We start from the raw sequence: 19980 nt of genomic DNA on the forward strand, positions 1-19980 counted from the left end.
TATTCTTTATAATTTGTCTTTTCTGTACAATCAACATCAAAACTTGCCTTTAACTTATTCAATAAATCACCAATTAAAATTTTCATATATGTATTAGAAAAAAAATGCACTGTAAAAAATCTTTTTAATGAGATTTCCTTTAATTTAATGGATTGGATAAAGCAATGTACTAAGATTTAAGATACCTGGGTCATACTTTCAGTTATATTGCTTGGTAACCCTTATTTTAACTTCTCTGGTTTTGATTTCTCATGCAAAGAGAAGAATCACTAATATAAATAGAAAATCGCTAGCATCTCCACTAATTTTAACATTGTATTGGACACCTACTCAGACCTACTGATTGTAAAACACTTACCATTTTTCTCAGCTCCAGTCTAGCTCCCCACACACTTTCTAATTCTTTCTCAATGCCCCGGAGACCCAAACTGTGCTTATTCTTTTTCTGAGCTGTGGGCCACTTCGCCCAGTGACTCTCAAATTATGTACTTCAAACCTTTGAGAACCCATGGAGTTGTTGCAGTTATAAAGACACTGTAAGTTCTTATATATATCAAATATTTTCTGGAGACTAAAAGTGATTCATATGTATGGACTTCACTTTTTCAAATATATGTTAATGCTCCTGTGATCAGCAAAATTAAAATAATTAATTTTTAATGTTTTTAAGTTCAGAAAAGATTTTGTCATTCTGAGTTTTCCAATCAATGTACAATTAAAGTCTAACTACTCTTAAATAGAAATACCTGGAAATTTCGACTTTTGATAATATTAGGAATAACTAACCTTAAGCTGTTTACTTCCATTTCTTTCATTTCAGTATAAGATCCCTTTGAAAATAAATCCAGATATCAAGTTTTAGCAAGGCTTCTTGGAAAATTACTATAGGAAAAAATAGAGTAACAATTTGATACCAGCTCTGCCCTATGGGGCACCTATGCTATGGCATATTATATGTACTTTTGATAACATATATTTAACTTTCAGTAATATATTTTAATTGATTACATGTTTATCCCATCTACTGGATTATGGATTACTTGAGGATTGTAACAATTGCTTACTCAGCATTGACTTATCTTATGGTGTCTACTCTCATGCTGCATAGATAATAGAATCTTAGTAAAAATTATTTGAATTGAATCAAATGTTTCTGTAATTCTACCAGGTGCACGAGAGGCTGCCAATAGATCTGAAAGAGTGGTAAGATCTTTGTTACTGAGAAAGTGGAAGTGAACAAGATAAGATTTCTGATTAGAGTATCATTCAAATAAAAATACTGAGCTATCTCAAAGACCATCCTGATACTCATGAAAGTCGACAGACCCTGAGTAGACTAATCTTATTCCCTAGAATTTGCAAGGTCCAGGGACCAGATGAGAGTGGAGTTGAATCTCCCCTAGGGAACATTAGGCATCAGAAATTTGTTACATTTTTCAATACTTTATAGTTTTCAGAATGCTTTACCTTATATATTTTGGTTAGGTGTTGATTTTATATGAAACCAAACCTCTATTGTATTCATATTTCTTGGCTAGGCTGATATCTAAGAAATTAAGAGTGGAAGAATTTCAGATTACTGGGGTCTTTGATGATGACAGTATCCTAGGAAAAAGCTTTAAATGTAATTCCAAAAACAGTGTATAATGAGATACCTATTGAACGACTGAGTGATAGCTTAATGAAAATCAAGGTGATTGAGTTAAAGTTTTGTCAGATATCCAGAATGTTGCTGAAATCTATTCCTCTTCTTCCAGAACACTTGCCTACTTTGCATAGCATGGTCTATTTTATAGCTTTATTAATGGTCTTTCCACCTTTTTCTGAATATTCTTTTACCAACTCTATCCCCCATATTGTTGCTAGTCATCCTTTTAAACACTGATCATGTCTGTCACCTGTTTGGAAACCTCCGATGGTTCCCCCTCCATGGAGAACAAAGTGCGATCTTGTTAGCACGGCCTAGAGACATTCAGTTAGAATTTCTCGGATAAATAATGTCAGATAATTTTTCTGGGTTGCCCAATTAAGGTCTTCCTACATTAAATGGGAGAGACAGACAATATCTTCAGTTGAATGGCACCTGGCTTTACTAGTACCCTTTTGAGCAGCTGCCACTTAAGCTCAGACTTTTTGACACTAAAGCAGTTTATTTAAGCCCATAACCCTATGAAGACTAGCTCAAGGTTGCTCCATAAAAAATGAAAGTCATTTTGAAAGTAAGCAGGGAGGGGGTGGTGTGGTTTCTCTGCTGAAGCACAGCCACATGGCGTGTCTGGCTATATCCTCTCCCCAGGGATGCCATAGGATGCTGGAAGACAGGAAATTCTTAAAGTCATTGCCTTCCTGCCCATGAGTTTCAGCCTGTACCAAACCCTTTGCAGTATTTCAGGAAAATAAGATTCTTCACCATATACTTTATATCTGGCTTTCTAGCCTCCCAATTTTCATGCTTTGTTCCATTGTATCCCAAGCTTTTTGCTATTCCTCCCATCCTCTGCACATCTATACCTTCATGACTTCTCTTGACAATATCTTCTCTAGCTCATATGCTAAATAGTTATATCCTCATTGGTCATCATAATAATTAGATAGAACAGTTCTGTAGAGCTTTTAGCTATCTGCAACACAACCGTCCCGTTTCAATTCATTTTTCTCCCAAGGAAGCAAACTTCCTCCTCTAAAAAGCTATATTTGTAGCATACCAGTTTGTTAGTGGTTCAACCAATAAAAATATGAAAACATAATTTACTTACACTGACATGGACAACTGTGTCAGTGGGAGAAGAAATAGGTCTTTAGTATAACAGAGTTCTAAATATGCATATTAGAATTTGCATATTTATACCAAACTCCAACCCTTTCTTTGTTTGATTTACTATTATTATTATTCCACCAGGGTTTGATTCAATTTTCACTGGGTTGTCTATACAAACTGTCCCCCAAGGTGACCTCCAGAATTGTCAATTTAGATGCTGAAATTAGATGCTTAAATAATTCAGATAATTGAACTATTATGTCATTATAAAAGTAGCCTAATATGTGAGTATTTGGGGCCATTTTATTTGGGTGATATATCATTCTTCCTTACTGATAACATTTATGCTAAATGATTATCTTCTAACTATGTGTAAATTGTATTACGCTTCTTTGATCAAAATTATACAAATACTCAGATGTTTACTTTCCATTGTGTCCAATATATACACTAACAAAACAGTCAGAGAATATGTTCAGTATTAGGATGGGGTGTGGGATGATTGCTTGGGCTGAAGCATGAATTAACTGTAGTAGGGGATAAGAATAAGCATGGAGACTGTGGTAGGCAGAATTTTAAGATGGCCCCCAACACTTCTTTTCTCAGGTGTACACACACCTTTGCACAGTTGTTCAATCAAATATTAATCTAGGTCTCCTGTGAAAATAATTTGCAGATGAGATTAAGGTGGCAAATCTGTTAATGTAAACATAGGCAGATAATTTATGTGGATCCGACTTGACCTAATCACATGAGCCACTTAAGAGTAGAGAATTTTCTTTTCTTTTTTTTTAAATTATACTTTAAGTTCTGGGATACATGTGCAGAACTTGCAGGTTTGTTACATAGGTATATATGTGCCATGGTGGTTTGCTGCACCCATCAACCTGTCATCTACGTTAGGTATTTCTCCTAATGCTATCCCTCCCCTTGCCCTCCACCCACTGACAAGCCCCAGTGTGTGATGTTCCCATCCCTGTGCCCATATGTTCTCATTGTTGAACTCCCACTTTAGCAGATCACAGAAGAGGAGGTCAGAAATCTGAAGCACAAGAAGGATTTGTTGCACCAATGATGACTTGAGTGAGGGGAGATACATGGAAAGGAATGCGGGCAGCCTTTGGGAGCTGAGAGCAATTCCTGGCTGGCAGACAGCAAGGAAATGGGGATCTCAGTCCTACAGCTGCAAGAAACTTAATTTGTCCAACAGCAGGGATGACCTTACAAATGAATTTTTCTTCAGAGCCTACTGATAAGAACTCAGTTTATGTGAAAACTTGGTTTTAGCTTTGTGATGCCCTGAGTAGAGAATCTAGCTATGCCATGCTCCATGCAAGACTTTTAACTTTCAGAACTGTGAGATAATACACTGGTGTTGTTTTAAGCCACTAAGTTTGTGGCAATTTGTTACTTGGTAGTAGAAAACTAATACAGAGGACACTGCAGTTATTGGAATGAGGGACAATGGCAGCTTGGACTATGGCTATGGATATGGAAATAGAAAAAAAACAGAACTGAGATATTCAGGGATAAAATTGATATGACTATGTGACAGATGGGGGGATAAAGGAGATAGATTAGTTAAAACATGTGTCTGGTTTTTCACCATGCATAGTTTTTCACATCAGAAGACTACTGTGCTAAGTGAATTATTGGGTAGTGGTAAGAGTTGGAGAATATTAATTGGGTTTAGATACGTAGAGATTGAAGTGCCTTGAGACACTTAACAGGAGCCATCAATTGGCAGTTGGATATGAGTCATTGGTATTATAAATCAAAAAATATCTGGGAGAAGTCTCAATTAATTTAGAAGTTTATTTCACCAAGGTTAGGGACCTGCCTGTGACACAGCCTCAGGAGGTCCTGAGAATGTGTCCCCAAGGTGGCTGGACTACAGCTTGGTTTTATATGTTTTAGGGAGACAGAAGACATCAGTCAATACGTGTAAGATGGACACTGATTCAGTCCATAAAGGCAGGACAACTTGAAGTGGAAAACTTCCAGGTAGTAGGTGGATTCAAAGATTTCCTTATTGGCAATTGGTTGAAAGAGTTTATAGGAAGACCTGAAATCAATAGGAGGTAATGTTTGAGTTGAGATAAGGGGTTGTGGGGACCAAGGTTTTTATTATGCAGATGAGTCCTCCAGGTTGCAGGCTTGAGAGAATACATTGTAAATGTTCTTATCAGACTTTAAAATGTGCCAGACTCTTAGTTAATTCTCTCCTGGATCAGGAGATACAGCTTTGAAGGCCATTTCCATTTAGGGCCTGCTATCTGTCATGTTGGTATCTTATTGCTGTAAAGAGTCTGCTTTGTCAGCCTTAAAGTCTGTTTTAATGTTAAATGATGGCCAGTATGCCTGAATTCCAAAGGGAATAGAGTATAAGAAGGCATGTCTGACCTTCTCTTCCCATCATGGCCTGAACTAGTTTTTCAGGTTAACTTAGGAATGCCCTTGGCTGAGAGGAGGGGCCTGTTCAATTGGTTGGGGAGCTTAGAATTTTATTTTTATTTTATAGCATGCTGGTGATAATTGAAGTCCTTGGCATAGATGACATCACTGATGAAGGATGTGGCATGAGAAGAGAACAGAACTTTAAGATTCTTAATATTTAGTAGCCAGGTGGAGGCAAATAAGCCCATAAGAGAAACAAGCAATTAGTGTGTAAGTAAAAACTGTGTTGTGTCATGGAAGTCAAGAGAATAGTATTTCAAGAAAAAGAACATGGGCAATGTAACAGGTGCTCCTGAGATGTCAAGTAAGAAATATTTTGGCAGGGGGGTTAGTAAAATGGTGTTTACTGGTTACCTTAGTAAAAGTCGTTTCCATGAAGGGATGTGGACAGAAACCAGACTGGAATGAGATAAAGAGTGAAGGTGAGGAAATGAAAACAAAATACTTAAGTACAGACAACTCTAAAGAAGTTTGCTTATAAAGAGGAGAAGACCAGGAAGTAGCTGGAGATGTATATTAGTCTGTTCTCATACTGCTGTAAAGAACTGCCTGAAACTGGGTAATTCATAAAGGAAAGAGGTTTAATTGACACACAGTTCAGCATGGCTGGGGAGGCCTCAGGAAACTTATAATCATGGTGAAAGGCACCTCTTTGCAGGGCAGCAGGAGAGAGAATTAGTGCCAAGTGAAGGGGGAAAGCCCTTATAAAACCATCACATCTTGTGAGTACTCACTCACTATCATGAGAACAGTCTGGTGGAAACTGCCTTTATGATTCAATTATCTCCCACCAGGTTCCTCTCATGACACATGGGGATTATGGGAACTACAATTCAAGATGAGATTTGGGTGCGGACACAGAGCCAAACCATATCAAAGTGGTTTTTTTATTTTATTTTCTGTGGGAGACAACATATTTAAAAGCCAACTAGAAGGAATCAGTTCAGAAGTTGTTAAATATACAAGAGAGGAGGAGGAAGAAATAACAAAGTTTTCTGAGAAGGTGAAGGAGATAAGATCCAAAGTACACATAGAGATTTAAGTTCCTTTAGTATAACAGGAACAAAAGGACATTGATGGGTATACCTATCTTGTACAAATAGGTTTACATATTAGGAAAAAATGAAATTAATAGAGGTCCAGTCTGATGGCTTCTTTTTCTTCCAAAACTTGTTTGAAAAGCACTGTCACCTGTTAAGAGTATGGGGAGGAGAGTGGGCATTATAAATGTGAAGAGGGGTGGATAAAGTCTGAAATAGTCCTTGTGGAAAATGGGGGACTCAACTGAATTGACCTAGACAGGCTATGAGGAAGCCTAAATGTCATAACATTAATGAAGATTTTCTTGTCATCTTTCCAGCAGCTGTCAGCCTTTACCTTCTCCCACTCTGAGGTAGAACTAATCTTTAATGTCTTCTTCCCTTGAAATACCACAGCACATTTTTCATATCATGATAGAGATCATCTCGCTGTATTAAACCATCTGTTAGCATGTCTTGTTCGTAATGATAGACTATGAAATGAACAAGACCATTTCTGATGCCTTCATTTGTCTTTGTACTTCAATAGTTTAGCAAATAAAGAAAAAAATGTAATTATTAGGCAAAAATAATGATAAAAATAACAGTAACAATTTTTAAAAATAAAAGTTATTGACCATTTATTTGTGTCATTCACTTTGCTAAGTATATTTTTACTTTCTTATTTGTAATTTAATTTTGTCCATCCTAATTTGTTTATTTAATAGATTAGGAAACTAAAGCTTAAAGGGATGAAATATCTCCATGGTGACACTACTACTAACTGGAAACTTTTTTTGAACTGATGACACTACTACTAACTGGAAACTTTTTTTGCTCTGTGGCCTCATTCTTTCTTCAATAGAATAAGGAAGAAAATTTTGAAATATTGAGTAAAAACTTCTTCTGAAAGATGAAAGTTGTTTTGACCACTGTCTTCTCTCTGTAATACTAATTAAATATTTATTTAGCAAGATTCTCATCAGAATTCATCTTTCAGAAGAAGTTTTTACTCAATATTTCAAAATTTTCTTCCTTATTCTATTGAAGAAAGAATGAGGCCACAGAGCAAAATCAATTATTTATTTTGCATAGATGGAATTTATGTAGATAGCGCTATCATAAAGGTACTGCAAAAGGAAATTCATGTGCAAATATCCTCATCAACTGAATTAGAACTCAACATCATCATTGCTACATCATGCAAGAAGACTATACAGCAACTTAGTTTAGACAGGCATGAGTATCTGCTTAGTCTATTCATTAATAAAAAAGTCTATTCATTAATAAATAATCAACTTTGGTTTCAGGACATAAAATGATCCCAAAGTTGGCCAGATAAAAATAGGGTCACCTCAGAAAGCGGTTCTCAGATTAGTTTGAAAAGTGATTTAACACATTGCTGAAATGTAAGCGGGTATCCAATCCAAAAGAAATAACAAAACAGAAGCCTTTTTACTATCCCCCAGAGTATGGTTTTTTTAGGAAAACATGCAGAGAAAGAAAGGCAAGGATAATGTGCACAATTTAGAAATAAATGGAAATCCTTTATGTGTTAATCATTTCTGGAATACTTATGCAATCTGTGTTTTATGGTCCATTTTATATATTTCTTTAAGCTGTCCATTGATAGAAAAGAATACACAAAAGTCTGAAAAGTTAGAGAGCTTTAGTAATTACATTTTGTCACTTACTAACAACCAAGAAAGAGAAAAAAACTATAATGATATTTAGTAACCCATGAATGTGACTTTTCTAATTTCTAATATGATAAATTAGCACTCCTCAAATTTAGAATGAACTTACTGTAAATATCTGTCCATCTCTATGTCATTTATTTACCCCAAATATCTTACATATTGGAAATTTTTTAAAAATGTATTTTAAATATTTATATTTTAATCTAATCTGTGTTATATAATTTCAGATCTAAATGTCATAAAATTCATGATATATTTTTATATGTATGTATATTTGAATGAAACATTTAATAATATTTACATAAAAGCAAATTTCATATATATCATGTAACAACTATGAATTTTAGTTTAGCTTAAATTTCATTTTGGGGGAAAAACATAATACTGACATGTATGATTTTTGGTAGGGAACTAAATATATGTTCAAATGTAGATTAAAAGATAACTATAGTAGAAACTATGAAAATATATGAAAACTAGTTTTATAACCTATGTCAGGCCTCTGAGCCCAAGCTATGCCATCATATCCCCTGTGACCTGCACATACACATCCAGATGGTCGGTTCCTGCCTTAACTGATGACATTCCACCACAAAAGAAGTGAAAATGGCCGTTCCTGCCTTAACTGATGACATTGTCTTGTGAAATTCCTTCTCCTGGCTCATTCTGGCTCAAAAGCTCCCCTACTGAGCACCTTGTGACCCCCACTCTGCCCGCCAGAGAACAACCCCCCTTTAACTGTAATTTTCCTTTACCTACCCAAATCCTATAAAATGGCCCCACCCCTATGTCCCTTCGCTGACTCTCTTTTCGGACTCAGCCCACCTGCACCCAGGTGAAATAAACAGTTTTATTGCTGACTCAAAGCCTGTTTGGTGGTCTCTTCACACGAACGCGAGTGAAATTTGGTGCCGTGACTTGGATCGGGGGACCTCCCTTGGGAGATCAATCCCCTGTCCTCCTGCTCTTTGCTCCATGAGAAAGATCCACCTATGACCTCAGGTCCTCAGACCAACCAGCCAAGAAACATCTCCCCAATTTCAAATCCGGTAAGCAGCCTCTTTTTACTCTCTTCTCCAACCTCCCTCACTATCCTTCAACCTCTTTCTCCTTTCAATCTTGGAGCCACACTTCAATCTCTCCCTTCTTTTAATTTCAATTCCTTTCATTTTCTGGTAGAGACAAAGGAGACACGTTCTATCCGTGGACCCAAAACTCCGGCGCCGGTCACAGACTGGGAAGACAGACTTCCCTTGATGTTTAATCATTGCAGGGACACCTCTCTGATTATTTACCCACGTTTCAGAGGTGTCACACCATTCAGGGATGCCTGCCTCGGTCCTTCACCCTTAGCAGCAAGTCCTACTTTTCTGTGGGAGGGGCAAGTACCCCAACCCCTTCTCTCCATGTTTCTACCCCTTCTCCACCTTTCTAGGGGGCAAGGAACCCCCAACCCCTTCTCCTTCACCCTTAGCAGCAAGTCCCGCTTTTCTAGGGGAGGGGCAAGTACCCCAACCTCTTATATCTCTGTGCCCCAATCCCTTATTTCCATGCCCCGACCTCGTATCTCTGTGCCCTGACCCCTTTCCCACTTTTCTGGAGGGTAAGAACCCGTGAACCCCTTCCCTCCGTGTCTCTACTCTCTCTTTTCTCTGGGCTTGCCTCCTTCACTATGGGCAACCTTCCATCCTCCATTCCTCCTCCTTCTCCCTTAGCCTGTATTCTTAAGAACTTAAAACCTCTTCAACTCTCACCTGACCTAAAATCTAAGCATCTTATTTTCTTCTGCAATGCCGCTTGACCCCAGTGCAAACTCGACAGTTGCTCTAAATGGCCAGAAAACGGCACTTTCAATTTCTCCATCCTACAAGACCTAAATAATTTTTGTCGAAAAATGGGCAAATGGTCTGAGGTGCCTGACATCCAGGCATTCTTTTACAAATCGGTCCCTCCCTAGTCTCTGTGCCCAGTGGGACTCGTCCCAAATCTTCCTTCTTTCCCTCCTGCCTGTCCCCTCAGTCCCAACCCCAAGCGTCGCTGAGTCTTTCTAATCTTCCTTTTCTACAGACCCACCTGACCTCTCCCCTCCTCTCCAGGCTGCTCCTTGCCAGGCCGAGCTAGGTTCCAATTCTTCCTCAGCCTGTCTCCACCCTATAATCTTTTTATCACCTCCCCTCCTCACACCTGGTCCGGCTTACAGTTTCGTTCGGTGACTAGCCCTCCCCCACCTGGCCAGGAATTTACTCTTAAAAAGGTGGCTGGAGCTAAAGGCATAGTCAAGGTTAATAGTCCTTTTTCTTTATCCCAAATCAGACAGCATTTAGGCTCTTTTTCATCAAATATAAAAATCCAGCCCAGTTCATGACTCGTTTGGCAGCAACCCTGAGACACTTTACAGCCCTAGACCCTAAAAGTTCAAAAGGCCATCTTAGTCTCAAAATACATTTTATTACCCAATCTGCTCCCGACATTAAATGAAACTCCAAAAATTAAATTCTGACCCTCCAACCCCACAACAGGATTTAATTAACCTTGCCTTCAAGGTGTACAATAATAGAAAAAAGTTGCAATTCCTTACCTCCACTGTGAGACAAACCCCAGCCACATCTCCAGCACATAAGAACTTCCAAACGCCTGAATCGCAGTGGCCAGGCATTCCTCCAGAACCTCCTCCCCCAGGAGCTTGCTGCAAGTGCCAGAAATCTGGCCACTGGGCTAAGGAATGCCTGCAGCCCAGGATTCCTCCTAAGCCATGTCCCATCTGTGTGGGACCCCACTGAAAATTGGACTGTTCAACTCACCTGGCAGCCACTTCCAGAGCCCCTGGGACTCTGGTCCAAGGCTGTCTGACTGACTCCTGCCCAGATCTTCTCGGCTTAGCAGCTGAAGACTGACACTGCCCGATCGCCTCAGAAGCCTACAGGACCATCACAGATGCTCTAGGTAACTCTTACAGTGGAGGGTAAGTCCGTCCCCTTCTTAATCAATACGGAGGCTACTCACTCCACATTACCTTCTTTTCAAGGGCCTGTTTCCCTTGCTTCCATAACTGTTGTGGGTATTGACGGCCAGGCTTCTAAACCTCTTAAAACTCCCCAACTCTGGTGCCAACTTAGACAATACTCTTTTAAGCACTCCTTTTTAGTTATCCCCACCTGCCCAGTTCCCTTATTAGGCCGAGACACTTTAACTAAATTATCTGCTTCCCTGACTATTCCTAGGCTACAGCCACACCTCATTGCCACCTTTTTCTCCAGTTCAAAGCCTCCTTCACATCCTCCCTTTGTATCTCCCCACCTTAACCCACAAGTATAAGACACCTCTACTCCCTCCTTGGTGGCCAATCATGCACCCCTTACCATTTCATTAAAATCTAATCACCCTTACCCTGCTCAGTGCCAAGATCCCATCCCACTGCATGCTTTGAAAGGATTAAAGCCTATTATCACTTGCCTGCTAGAGCATGGCCTTTTAAAGCCTATAAACTCTCCTTACAATTCCCCCATTTTACCTGTCCTAAAACCAGACAAGGCTTACAGGTTAGTTCAGGATCTGCACCTTATCAACCAAATTGTTTTGCCTATCCATCCCATGGTGCCAAACCCATATACTCTCCTATCCTTAATACCTCCCTCTACAAACCATTATTCTGTACTGGATTTCAAACATACTTTCTTTACTATTCCTTTGCACCCTTCATCCCAGCCTCTCTTTGCTTTCACTTAGACTGACCCTGACACCCATTAGGCTCAACAAATTACCTGGGCTGTACTGCTGCAAGGCTTCACAGACAGCCCCCATTACTTCAGTCAAGCCCAAATTTCATCCTCATCTGTTACCTATCTCAGCGTAATTCTCATAAGAACACACGTGCTCTCCCTGCTGATCGTGTCCGATTAATCTCCCAAACCTCAATCCCTTACAAAACAACAACTCCTTTCCTTCCTAGGCATGGTTAGTGTGGTCAGAATTCTTACACAAGAGCCAGGACTGCACCCTGTAGCCTTTCTGTAAACAACTTGACCTTACTGTTTTAGCCTAGCCATCATGTCTCCGTGCAGCGGCTGCTGCCACCCTAATACTTTTAGAGGCCCTCAAAATCACAAACTATGCTCAACTCACTCTCTACATTTCTCATAACTTCCAAAATCTATTTTCTTCCTCATACCTGATGCATATACTTTCTGTTCCCCGGCTCCTTCAGCTGTACCCACTCTTTGTTAAGTCCCACTATTACCATTTTCCTGGCCCGTACTTCAATCTCGCCTCCCACATTATTCCTGATACCACACCTGACCTCCATGACTGTATCTCTCTGATCCATCTGACATTCACCCCATTTCCCCATATTTCCTTCTTTCCTGTTCCTCACCCTGATCACGCTTGATTTATTGATGGCACTTCCACCAGGCCTAATTGCCACACACCAGCAAAGCCAGGCTATGCTATAGTACAAGCCACTAGCCCGCCTCTTAGAACCTCTCATTTCCTTTCCATCCTGGAAATCTATCCTCAAGGAAATAACTTCTCAGTTGTCCATCTGCTATTCTACTACTCCTCAGGGATTATTCAGGCCCCCTCCCTTCTCTACACATCAAGCTCAAGGATTTGCCCCTGCCCAGGACTGGCAAATTAGCTTTACTCAACATGCCCCAAGTCACAAAAACTAAAATACCTCTTAGTCTAAGTAGACACTTTCACTAGACAGGTAGAGGCCTTTCCTACAGGGTCTGAGAAGGCCACCGCAGTCATTTCTTCCCTTCTGTCAGACATAATTCCTCAGTTTAGCCTTCCCACCTCTATACAGTCTGATAACAGACCAGCCTTTATTAGTGAAATCAGCCAAGCAGTTTTTCAGGCTCTTAGTATTCAGTGAAACCTTTATATCCCTTACAGTCCTCCATCTTCAGGAAAGGTAGAACGGACTAAAGGTCTTTTAAAAACACACCTCACCAAGCTCAGCCACCAACTTAAAAATGGACTGGACAATATTTTACCACTTTCCCTTCTCAGAAGTCAGACCTGTCCTCAGAATGCTACAGGGTACAGCCCATTTGAGCTCCTGAATAGATGCTCCTTTTTATTAGGCCCCAGTTTCATTTGACACCAGACCATCTTAGACTGTGCCCCAAAAAACTTGTCTTCCCTACTATCTCTGTCTAGTCATACTCTTATTCACCGTTCTCAACTACTCATACATGCCGTGCTCTTGTTTACACTGCCAGTTTACACTGTTTCTCCAAGCCATCACAGCTGATATCTCCTGGTGCTATCCCCAGACTGCCACTCTTAACTCTTGAAGTAAATAAATAATCTTTGCTGACAGGACTATGCTGAATTTCCTTAGGCACTCTTATAGATGTCCTAGGTCCTCCCAATTCTTAGACCTTTAATACCTGTTTTTCTCCTTCTCTTACTCGGTTTAGTTTTTCAATTCATACAAAACCGTATCCAGGCCATCACCAATAATTCTAAATGACAAATGTTTCTTCTAACAGTCCCATAATATCACCCCTTACCACAAAATCTTCCTTCAGCTTAATCTCTCCCACTCTAGGTTCCCATGCCGCCCCTAATCCTGCTAGAAGCAGCCCTGAGAAACATTGCCCATTGTCTCTCCATACCACCCCCAAAAATTTTTACCGTCCCAACACTTTACCACTATTTTGTTTTATTTTTCTTATTAATATAAGAAGACAGGAATGTCAGGCCTCTGAGCCCAAGCTAAGCCATCATATCCCCTGTGACCTGCACATACACATCCAGATGGCCGGTTCCTGCCTTAACTGATGACATTCCACCACAAAAGAAGTGAAAATGGCCTGTTCCTGCCTTAACTGATGACATTGTCTTGTGAAATTCCTTCTCCTGGCTCATCCTGGCTCAAAAGCTCCCCTACTGAGCACCTTGTGACCCCCCACTCTGCCCGCCAGAGAAAACCCCCCTTTGACTGTAATTTTCCTTTACCCAAATCCTATAAAATGGCCCCACCCCTATCTCCCTTCGCTGACTCTCTTTTGGGACTCAGCCCACCTGCACCCAGGTGAAATAAACAGCTTTATTGCTCACACAAAGCCTGTTTGGTGGTCTCTTCACAGGGATGCGAGTGAAAACCTAATTATTTGCAATACATGAATTTTATGCATAAAATAATCAACTGGTTTGTCTGTATATATTACAGATTGTTTATGATTTATGAGATACATCAGTATGGATGCTTTTGTAAGCAAGTAACGAAAAATCAATCAAAATTGATTTAATGGAAAGGAGCTTTATTTACTCACATAACTGGAAGATAAGTGATAAAATGCAGTTGAGTATTAATGTGGTGCACCCAGCTTCACTTTTTACAAATCTTCCTCTGTGAGGGATAATTTTCACACAACAAATACACCTGTTTTAATAGTTCTGTTTGATGAGTTCTGACAAACATATGCAACCACAATCCTAATTAAGATTAAACATTTTCTTCACTCCCCCAAATTCTTCTGTGATTTTTGTGGTCAACCCTCCCCCCCACCCCCATCTGTAGCCCTTGGCAGTCACTTATCTGATTTCCAACTTTACAAACTAGTTTTCTTTTTGCAGAATTCCATAAATCATCAGTCATGTCTGGCTTCTTTTGCTCAGCATCACATTTTTGAGACATATTTAGGTGATTGTATGTATCAGTAGTGTGTGTATTTGAAGTTCATGCTTTTACATTTCCAAGTAGTATTACATTGCAAGAATACACCACAGTTTGTAAATCCATTCACCTGTTGAGGGAATTTGGATTGTTTCCAATTTGGGCTATTATTAATAGAACTGTTATGAACATTTGAATATAAGTCTGTGTTGGCATATATTTTCATTTTCTTGGGCATTGCTGAATTTTATGGTAAGTGTATGTTTATTTTCCAAAGTGGCTATGCCATTTGACAACCTCACCAACAATATATGAGACTTCAAGTTGCTCTACATTGAAGCCAACATATGGTATTGTCAATCTTCTTAATTCTATCCTATTATACTTATGTCTAGTGGTATCTCATTGTTTAATTTTCATTTCCCTGATGAGGAAAGATGTTGAGAATCTTTTCTAAGCGCTTTTTGGCCATTCATATATCTTCTTTAGTGAAGTTTTTTAAAAAAGTATTTCTACCATTTTTATTTCTTTGCTTGCCTTATTATTGAGTTTTAAAAGCTATTTATATATTCTCAATACAGGTTGTAGGGGAAAGGGTTAACCTAGCAGTCTTGAGTTGCTCAAAACTTGTGTATTCCCAAGAAGGGCCTGTTTTCATCACAAGCTTTTGACCAGCTACTGGGAATTGAGCTCATGGAATGCTCTGACTGTTAAGAGTGTTTTGCATGCTTAGGGCCTTTGCGCCATACTTTAACAGTTTGTCTAGATTTCTCACAAATAATGTGATTTATATTGAGCACCAACAGGTAATTTTGAAATTAGATAGAGGAAATAGTGGTGTATTGTGAAAGTACTAAATGCTTTAAAATGATTTTACTGTGTTGTACACTTTAAAATGATTAATTTCGTGTTATATGAGTTTTACCTTAATAAAAAACAGTAACAATTTTAAAAATCAGAAAAGGGGGCCGGGCATGTTGGCTCACGCCTATAATCCCAGCACTTTGGGAGGCCGAGGCGGGTGGATTGCCTGAGGTCAGGAGTTCAAGACCAGCCTGACCAACATAGTGAAACCCCATCTCTACTAAAAATAAAAGAATTAGCTGGGCATGGTGGTGGGTGTCTGTAATCCCAGCTACTCAGGAGGCTGAAAGGAGGCTGAAGCAGGAGAATCGCTTGAACCCAGGAGACGGAGGTTGCAGTGAGCTGAGATTGTGCCAGTGCACTCCAGCCTGGGCAACAAAAGCGAAACTCCGTGTCAAAAAAAAAAAAAAAAGAAAAGAAAAGGATTTGAATAGACGTTTCTCCAAAGAAGATGTGTAAATGGCTAAGCATATTAAAAGATATTATCAGCATCAGTAGTCATTAGGGGAATGCAAATCAAAAACAGAATGTGATACTACTTTACACACACTAGGGTATCTACAATAAAAAAGACAGATATTAACAGTTGGAGGGGATGTAAATAATTTGCAACCCTTATGCATTGCTGGTGGAATATAAAACAGGGCAGTTGCTGAGGAGGTCAATTTGACACTTCCTCAAAAAGTTAAAAATAAAGTTAACCAGAAACCCCAGCAATTCTGCTCCTAGGTATTTGCCTCAGAGAAATAAAATTTTTGTGTCCACTTGAGCCCAATGCACAATGTTCACAGTAGCATTATTCATAATAGCCAAATAGTGAAAACAACCCAAATATTCATCAACTGATGAATGGATAAATATAGTATTGTATATGCATTAAATAGAATATTATTCTGCAATAAAAAGAAATGAAATACTGATACAAGTTACAAGATGGTTGGATCTTTAAAACAATATTCTCAGTGAAAAAAATCTAGTCACAGAAAGGGATAGATTAAATAGTCAAATTTATATAAAATGCCTAGTATAGGAAAACTCAGAGACAAGAAGCAGATTTGTGGTTTCTCAGGGCTGACGGTGGTTGGGGAGAGGGGTGGAGTGGGATGGGTATTTACTGTGGGGCATGACATTTCTTTTAGAAGAGACAAAACATTTTGAAATAAATTGAGATGCTCATTTCACAGCCTAGTGAATATACTAAAAACATCGAATTATACACTTCAAATGGGTATACTGTGTGATATGTGAATCGTAGCTCAATGAAGCTGTTTAAAAAAAACAAGCACTATGGAGGCTGGTAACTTGCAGTTGAATTTTAAAACAAATGTTAACTAAGTTATTAATATATTCAGCTTATCTCTACTTATATGTGCTCAACACAACTTGCAACCTCTTAAAACAAAGTTTAAATACTACTCATGTTAAAAAATGAAAATACTGCATTGTTTTAACATCACAAACACTCACAAAAACCTTTGTGAACCATTCTAACATCAATCAAGAATTTGCTGCATAGGCTTAGAAACTTCTCCTCTAAGAGACAACATTAAATTAAGCATATGAAATAATTTTCAGGATAATATAATTGATAAAATATCTAGCAATACTAGTGGATAAGACCTGAAAGGAATAAACTAGCAACTATACCTCAATATTTCTTAGTGAACTTTTTCCTTTCTAGTTCAAGAGAGGTCACTCTGTGATAAATTGATAAAGCTTATTTTTTAAAAATAATAGTTCTTTATATTTAAAAAATGGCTTGCAATAGTTTCTGCTTTACTGCTTTTGATCTCCAGGAATAGGTACTGAGGGATTCCAGTTGTGAGAAATGGGAAGAAGAAAAGCAGAATCCGCTGGCTCCTGAAAGCGGTCCATCTTAGAGCAGACACATCTCAAATCTTTCATTAATTAGCTGTATATATATTAATTAGCTGATATAACTTCTCCAAGTCTTGCCTTCTTCATTTATAAAATGCATAACATAATAATACATACTTTAGCAGGGTTGTGAAAATCAAATTAGGCAATGTATGTAAATCCTTACATAAGTATTCAATATTATGACAACTATTATTATTATTAATGCTTTTGTTGCTATTTTTATTATTTTGATGATCATGTCTAGGATTAATAATTCCTGACCCCAAAAGACTATCTAGTGCTCTAAACTTTCGGAAGCAGATTCTAAAAGGATGAGTTTTTTTCCCTTCTTTATTCGGAGTTGGTAGATTGGTCAGGAGATAGGGGAGTCTGTGGTGGGAAGAACATACATGATTCTATATAATGCTCATATGGTCTTTGTGATCATATGCGGTGAGGACACACAATTTACTAATGAAACCTTGAAGCTCTATTTTATTATCAAAGTACTGAGCTCTCCATTTGTGTACAAAAAAAAAAAAAAAACTGGATTACCTGTCTTAACCTATGATAAGTTATAAAACCTCCAAACTCTGTGGGCAACCAGTTCTGAAAACACACAAAAGACAGATTAAACTTTGAGTTTATATTGGAAAATTGGGGAGCTATTTGATTTTTTTCATTACACTCCTTGTGATTATATGCATTGACAACCATATTGAGCAACTCAATTTTCCTTCACTACTACAAAGCAAATTCTTGTCCAAACACAGAAATATGTCTCTATTATGTGATATTCTTTCACCCGTTACATCTCAAATACTCAAGAATAAATTGTTCATAGAGTAAAAATGCACAAAGATACCTACTTGACTTGATAAACTGTTTCCTGTTTTTAAATGAAACTGCATCACAGAATGGACTTTCCTTTTGTTTAATTTCCAGTTACCTGAGAATGAGGTAAAATGAAAAATGAAAGAAAAAGAAGTTAGAAATTTTTTTAGAGATTCTCTCTGTCAGATGCTTAAGTAATTCCTTTCTTCTAGGCCAAAAAGAAAATGCTTCCTAGCTCAGGGTATATACCTATCAAATTGTAAAGGGAGCATTTCCACATTGTTTGTGCTACTCTAAGTTTTGGTTTAAAAGATCATTGTTTTATGTACATGTATTTCTAATTATCTCAGAAGAGTGAATATGAAGTGAGTGGCTTTACTGTCCCTTGAACTTTAGGGAATGCACAAGAAAATTTATGATTTCTTCTACTGAATTTTTCTCTCTTTGGTACTTTCTTTTTATTTCTGCTCTAGTTCAGTTATCCAACTTTGACTTTCACATCACTCAGTCTTACTTGTTGATGGTCAGTAGCTTTTCTACATAGTTTAGCATTTTTTCTATAGGTTTTAAAAAAATAATATGAGTGCTAGGTTTTCTATAATTTTATTTATCCATATCACAGTTCTTTGGGAGTCTTGTTTCCAGTGTTCCCTTGCACATCTAGCCAAGTTAAGAAGGAGACAATATTGCCAAACAAAGGGAGATTGAGATTCCAAGTCAAGGAATATTAGAGATAAAAGAGATTTGGAGATCAGTCATATGGACTCTTTGCTTTATAGATGAGTAAGCTAAAATCCAAAGGGTGAAGCATGCCTCCCAAGATTGCACATCATTAAGTGACATTAAATCCTGTTTCCAAATCATCACTTACATATACAGTAGACTATCTACTCTTTGTTGGTGGTGGTATTAGTTGAGGACATTGATGGCAGTAAGTGAAAGCAGCAGTGGATTCAGGCCTTTTTTCCACTGACCCAAGTTGTAGACATTTAATTTGTTATTGGATTAACAACACTGCAAAACATTGGCAGATTATCAAAGAATGTGCCTGCCTTGGTAGAGCATGAAGTTATTCCTGTCTTTATGCGTATCAGGGCAGTAGAAACAAAGAACACATTTTAGTTTGCTATTCCTGATATAGGAAGCTCTAATTTTGAGTTTCCCAGATGTATATCTAGGGCACAGTCAACAACATCACGTAATGCAGTTTCAGATGGCTGTGTCAGGGGCTTAGGGGCTCATCTTGGTGTGAGGCTCTAGAGTAAACCTATTGAATCCTGAGTTTCAATGGGTTTAACAGAGTATGTTCTGATTTATCTCAAGACAGAGAAATTACACAGTATTTTAGAAAGGCATTAAATTTTAATATTATATATTCATGATGTAAAAAATGAGATAAATTTGCAGAATTTGCTAATTCACTAATAAATCCATAGGAATAAAATATGTTGCCTTAGTCTTCTTACCTTTCAAAAGTATGACTACTCCTCTTTTGAAATGCTACTTGAGATGCTTGTCATCTTTAGGTGGGAACATATGTCTATTTCATTTTATTTAGTGGAAGTTTTCCACTGGCTACTAATTAACTGATAATTTATGCTAGGCATTCCAGTTCAATTTCCTGACAAATCCAATCAGAAATCAAAACGTGACTTACAAATTTAAATAAGGAGGAAACACTGACCAAAACAGAAATTAGTGTTCATGATCATCAGTGTGACTTGCAGCTTTATATTATCAACAAGAATAGGGCAATGAAACTTCCATTGTGCTACAATTGTTGTCATCACAACTTCAATGAGATAATAATAAAGGATAATAAAAGGATTTTCATAAATTGCTTACTTGTTTTCTGAGAAG

General features: G+C 38.1%; 3 annotated features.

Moving 5' to 3' along the window:
- Nucleotides 8246-8999: an enhancer, noted in NCBI's record as "OCT4-NANOG-H3K27ac hESC enhancer chr7:93269066-93269819 (GRCh37/hg19 assembly coordinates)". NCBI's record gives its function as "activates a minimal SCP1, AML or CMV promoter by ChIP-STARR-seq in naive H9 embryonic stem cells {active_cell/tissue: H9 hESC(naive)}" and the evidence as "EXISTENCE:reporter gene assay evidence [ECO:0000049][PMID:30033119]".
- Nucleotides 12547-13410: an enhancer, noted in NCBI's record as "NANOG-H3K27ac hESC enhancer chr7:93273367-93274230 (GRCh37/hg19 assembly coordinates)". NCBI's record gives its function as "activates a minimal SCP1, AML or CMV promoter by ChIP-STARR-seq in naive H9 embryonic stem cells {active_cell/tissue: H9 hESC(naive)}" and the evidence as "EXISTENCE:reporter gene assay evidence [ECO:0000049][PMID:30033119]".
- Nucleotides 13411-14274: an enhancer, noted in NCBI's record as "OCT4-NANOG-H3K27ac hESC enhancer chr7:93274231-93275094 (GRCh37/hg19 assembly coordinates)". NCBI's record gives its function as "activates a minimal SCP1, AML or CMV promoter by ChIP-STARR-seq in primed H9 embryonic stem cells {active_cell/tissue: H9 hESC(primed)}" and the evidence as "EXISTENCE:reporter gene assay evidence [ECO:0000049][PMID:30033119]".

Source organism: Homo sapiens, chromosome 7 (genome assembly GCF_000001405.40).
Source record: "Homo sapiens chromosome 7, GRCh38.p14 Primary Assembly".
Classification (NCBI taxonomy): Eukaryota; Metazoa; Chordata; class Mammalia; order Primates; family Hominidae; genus Homo; species Homo sapiens.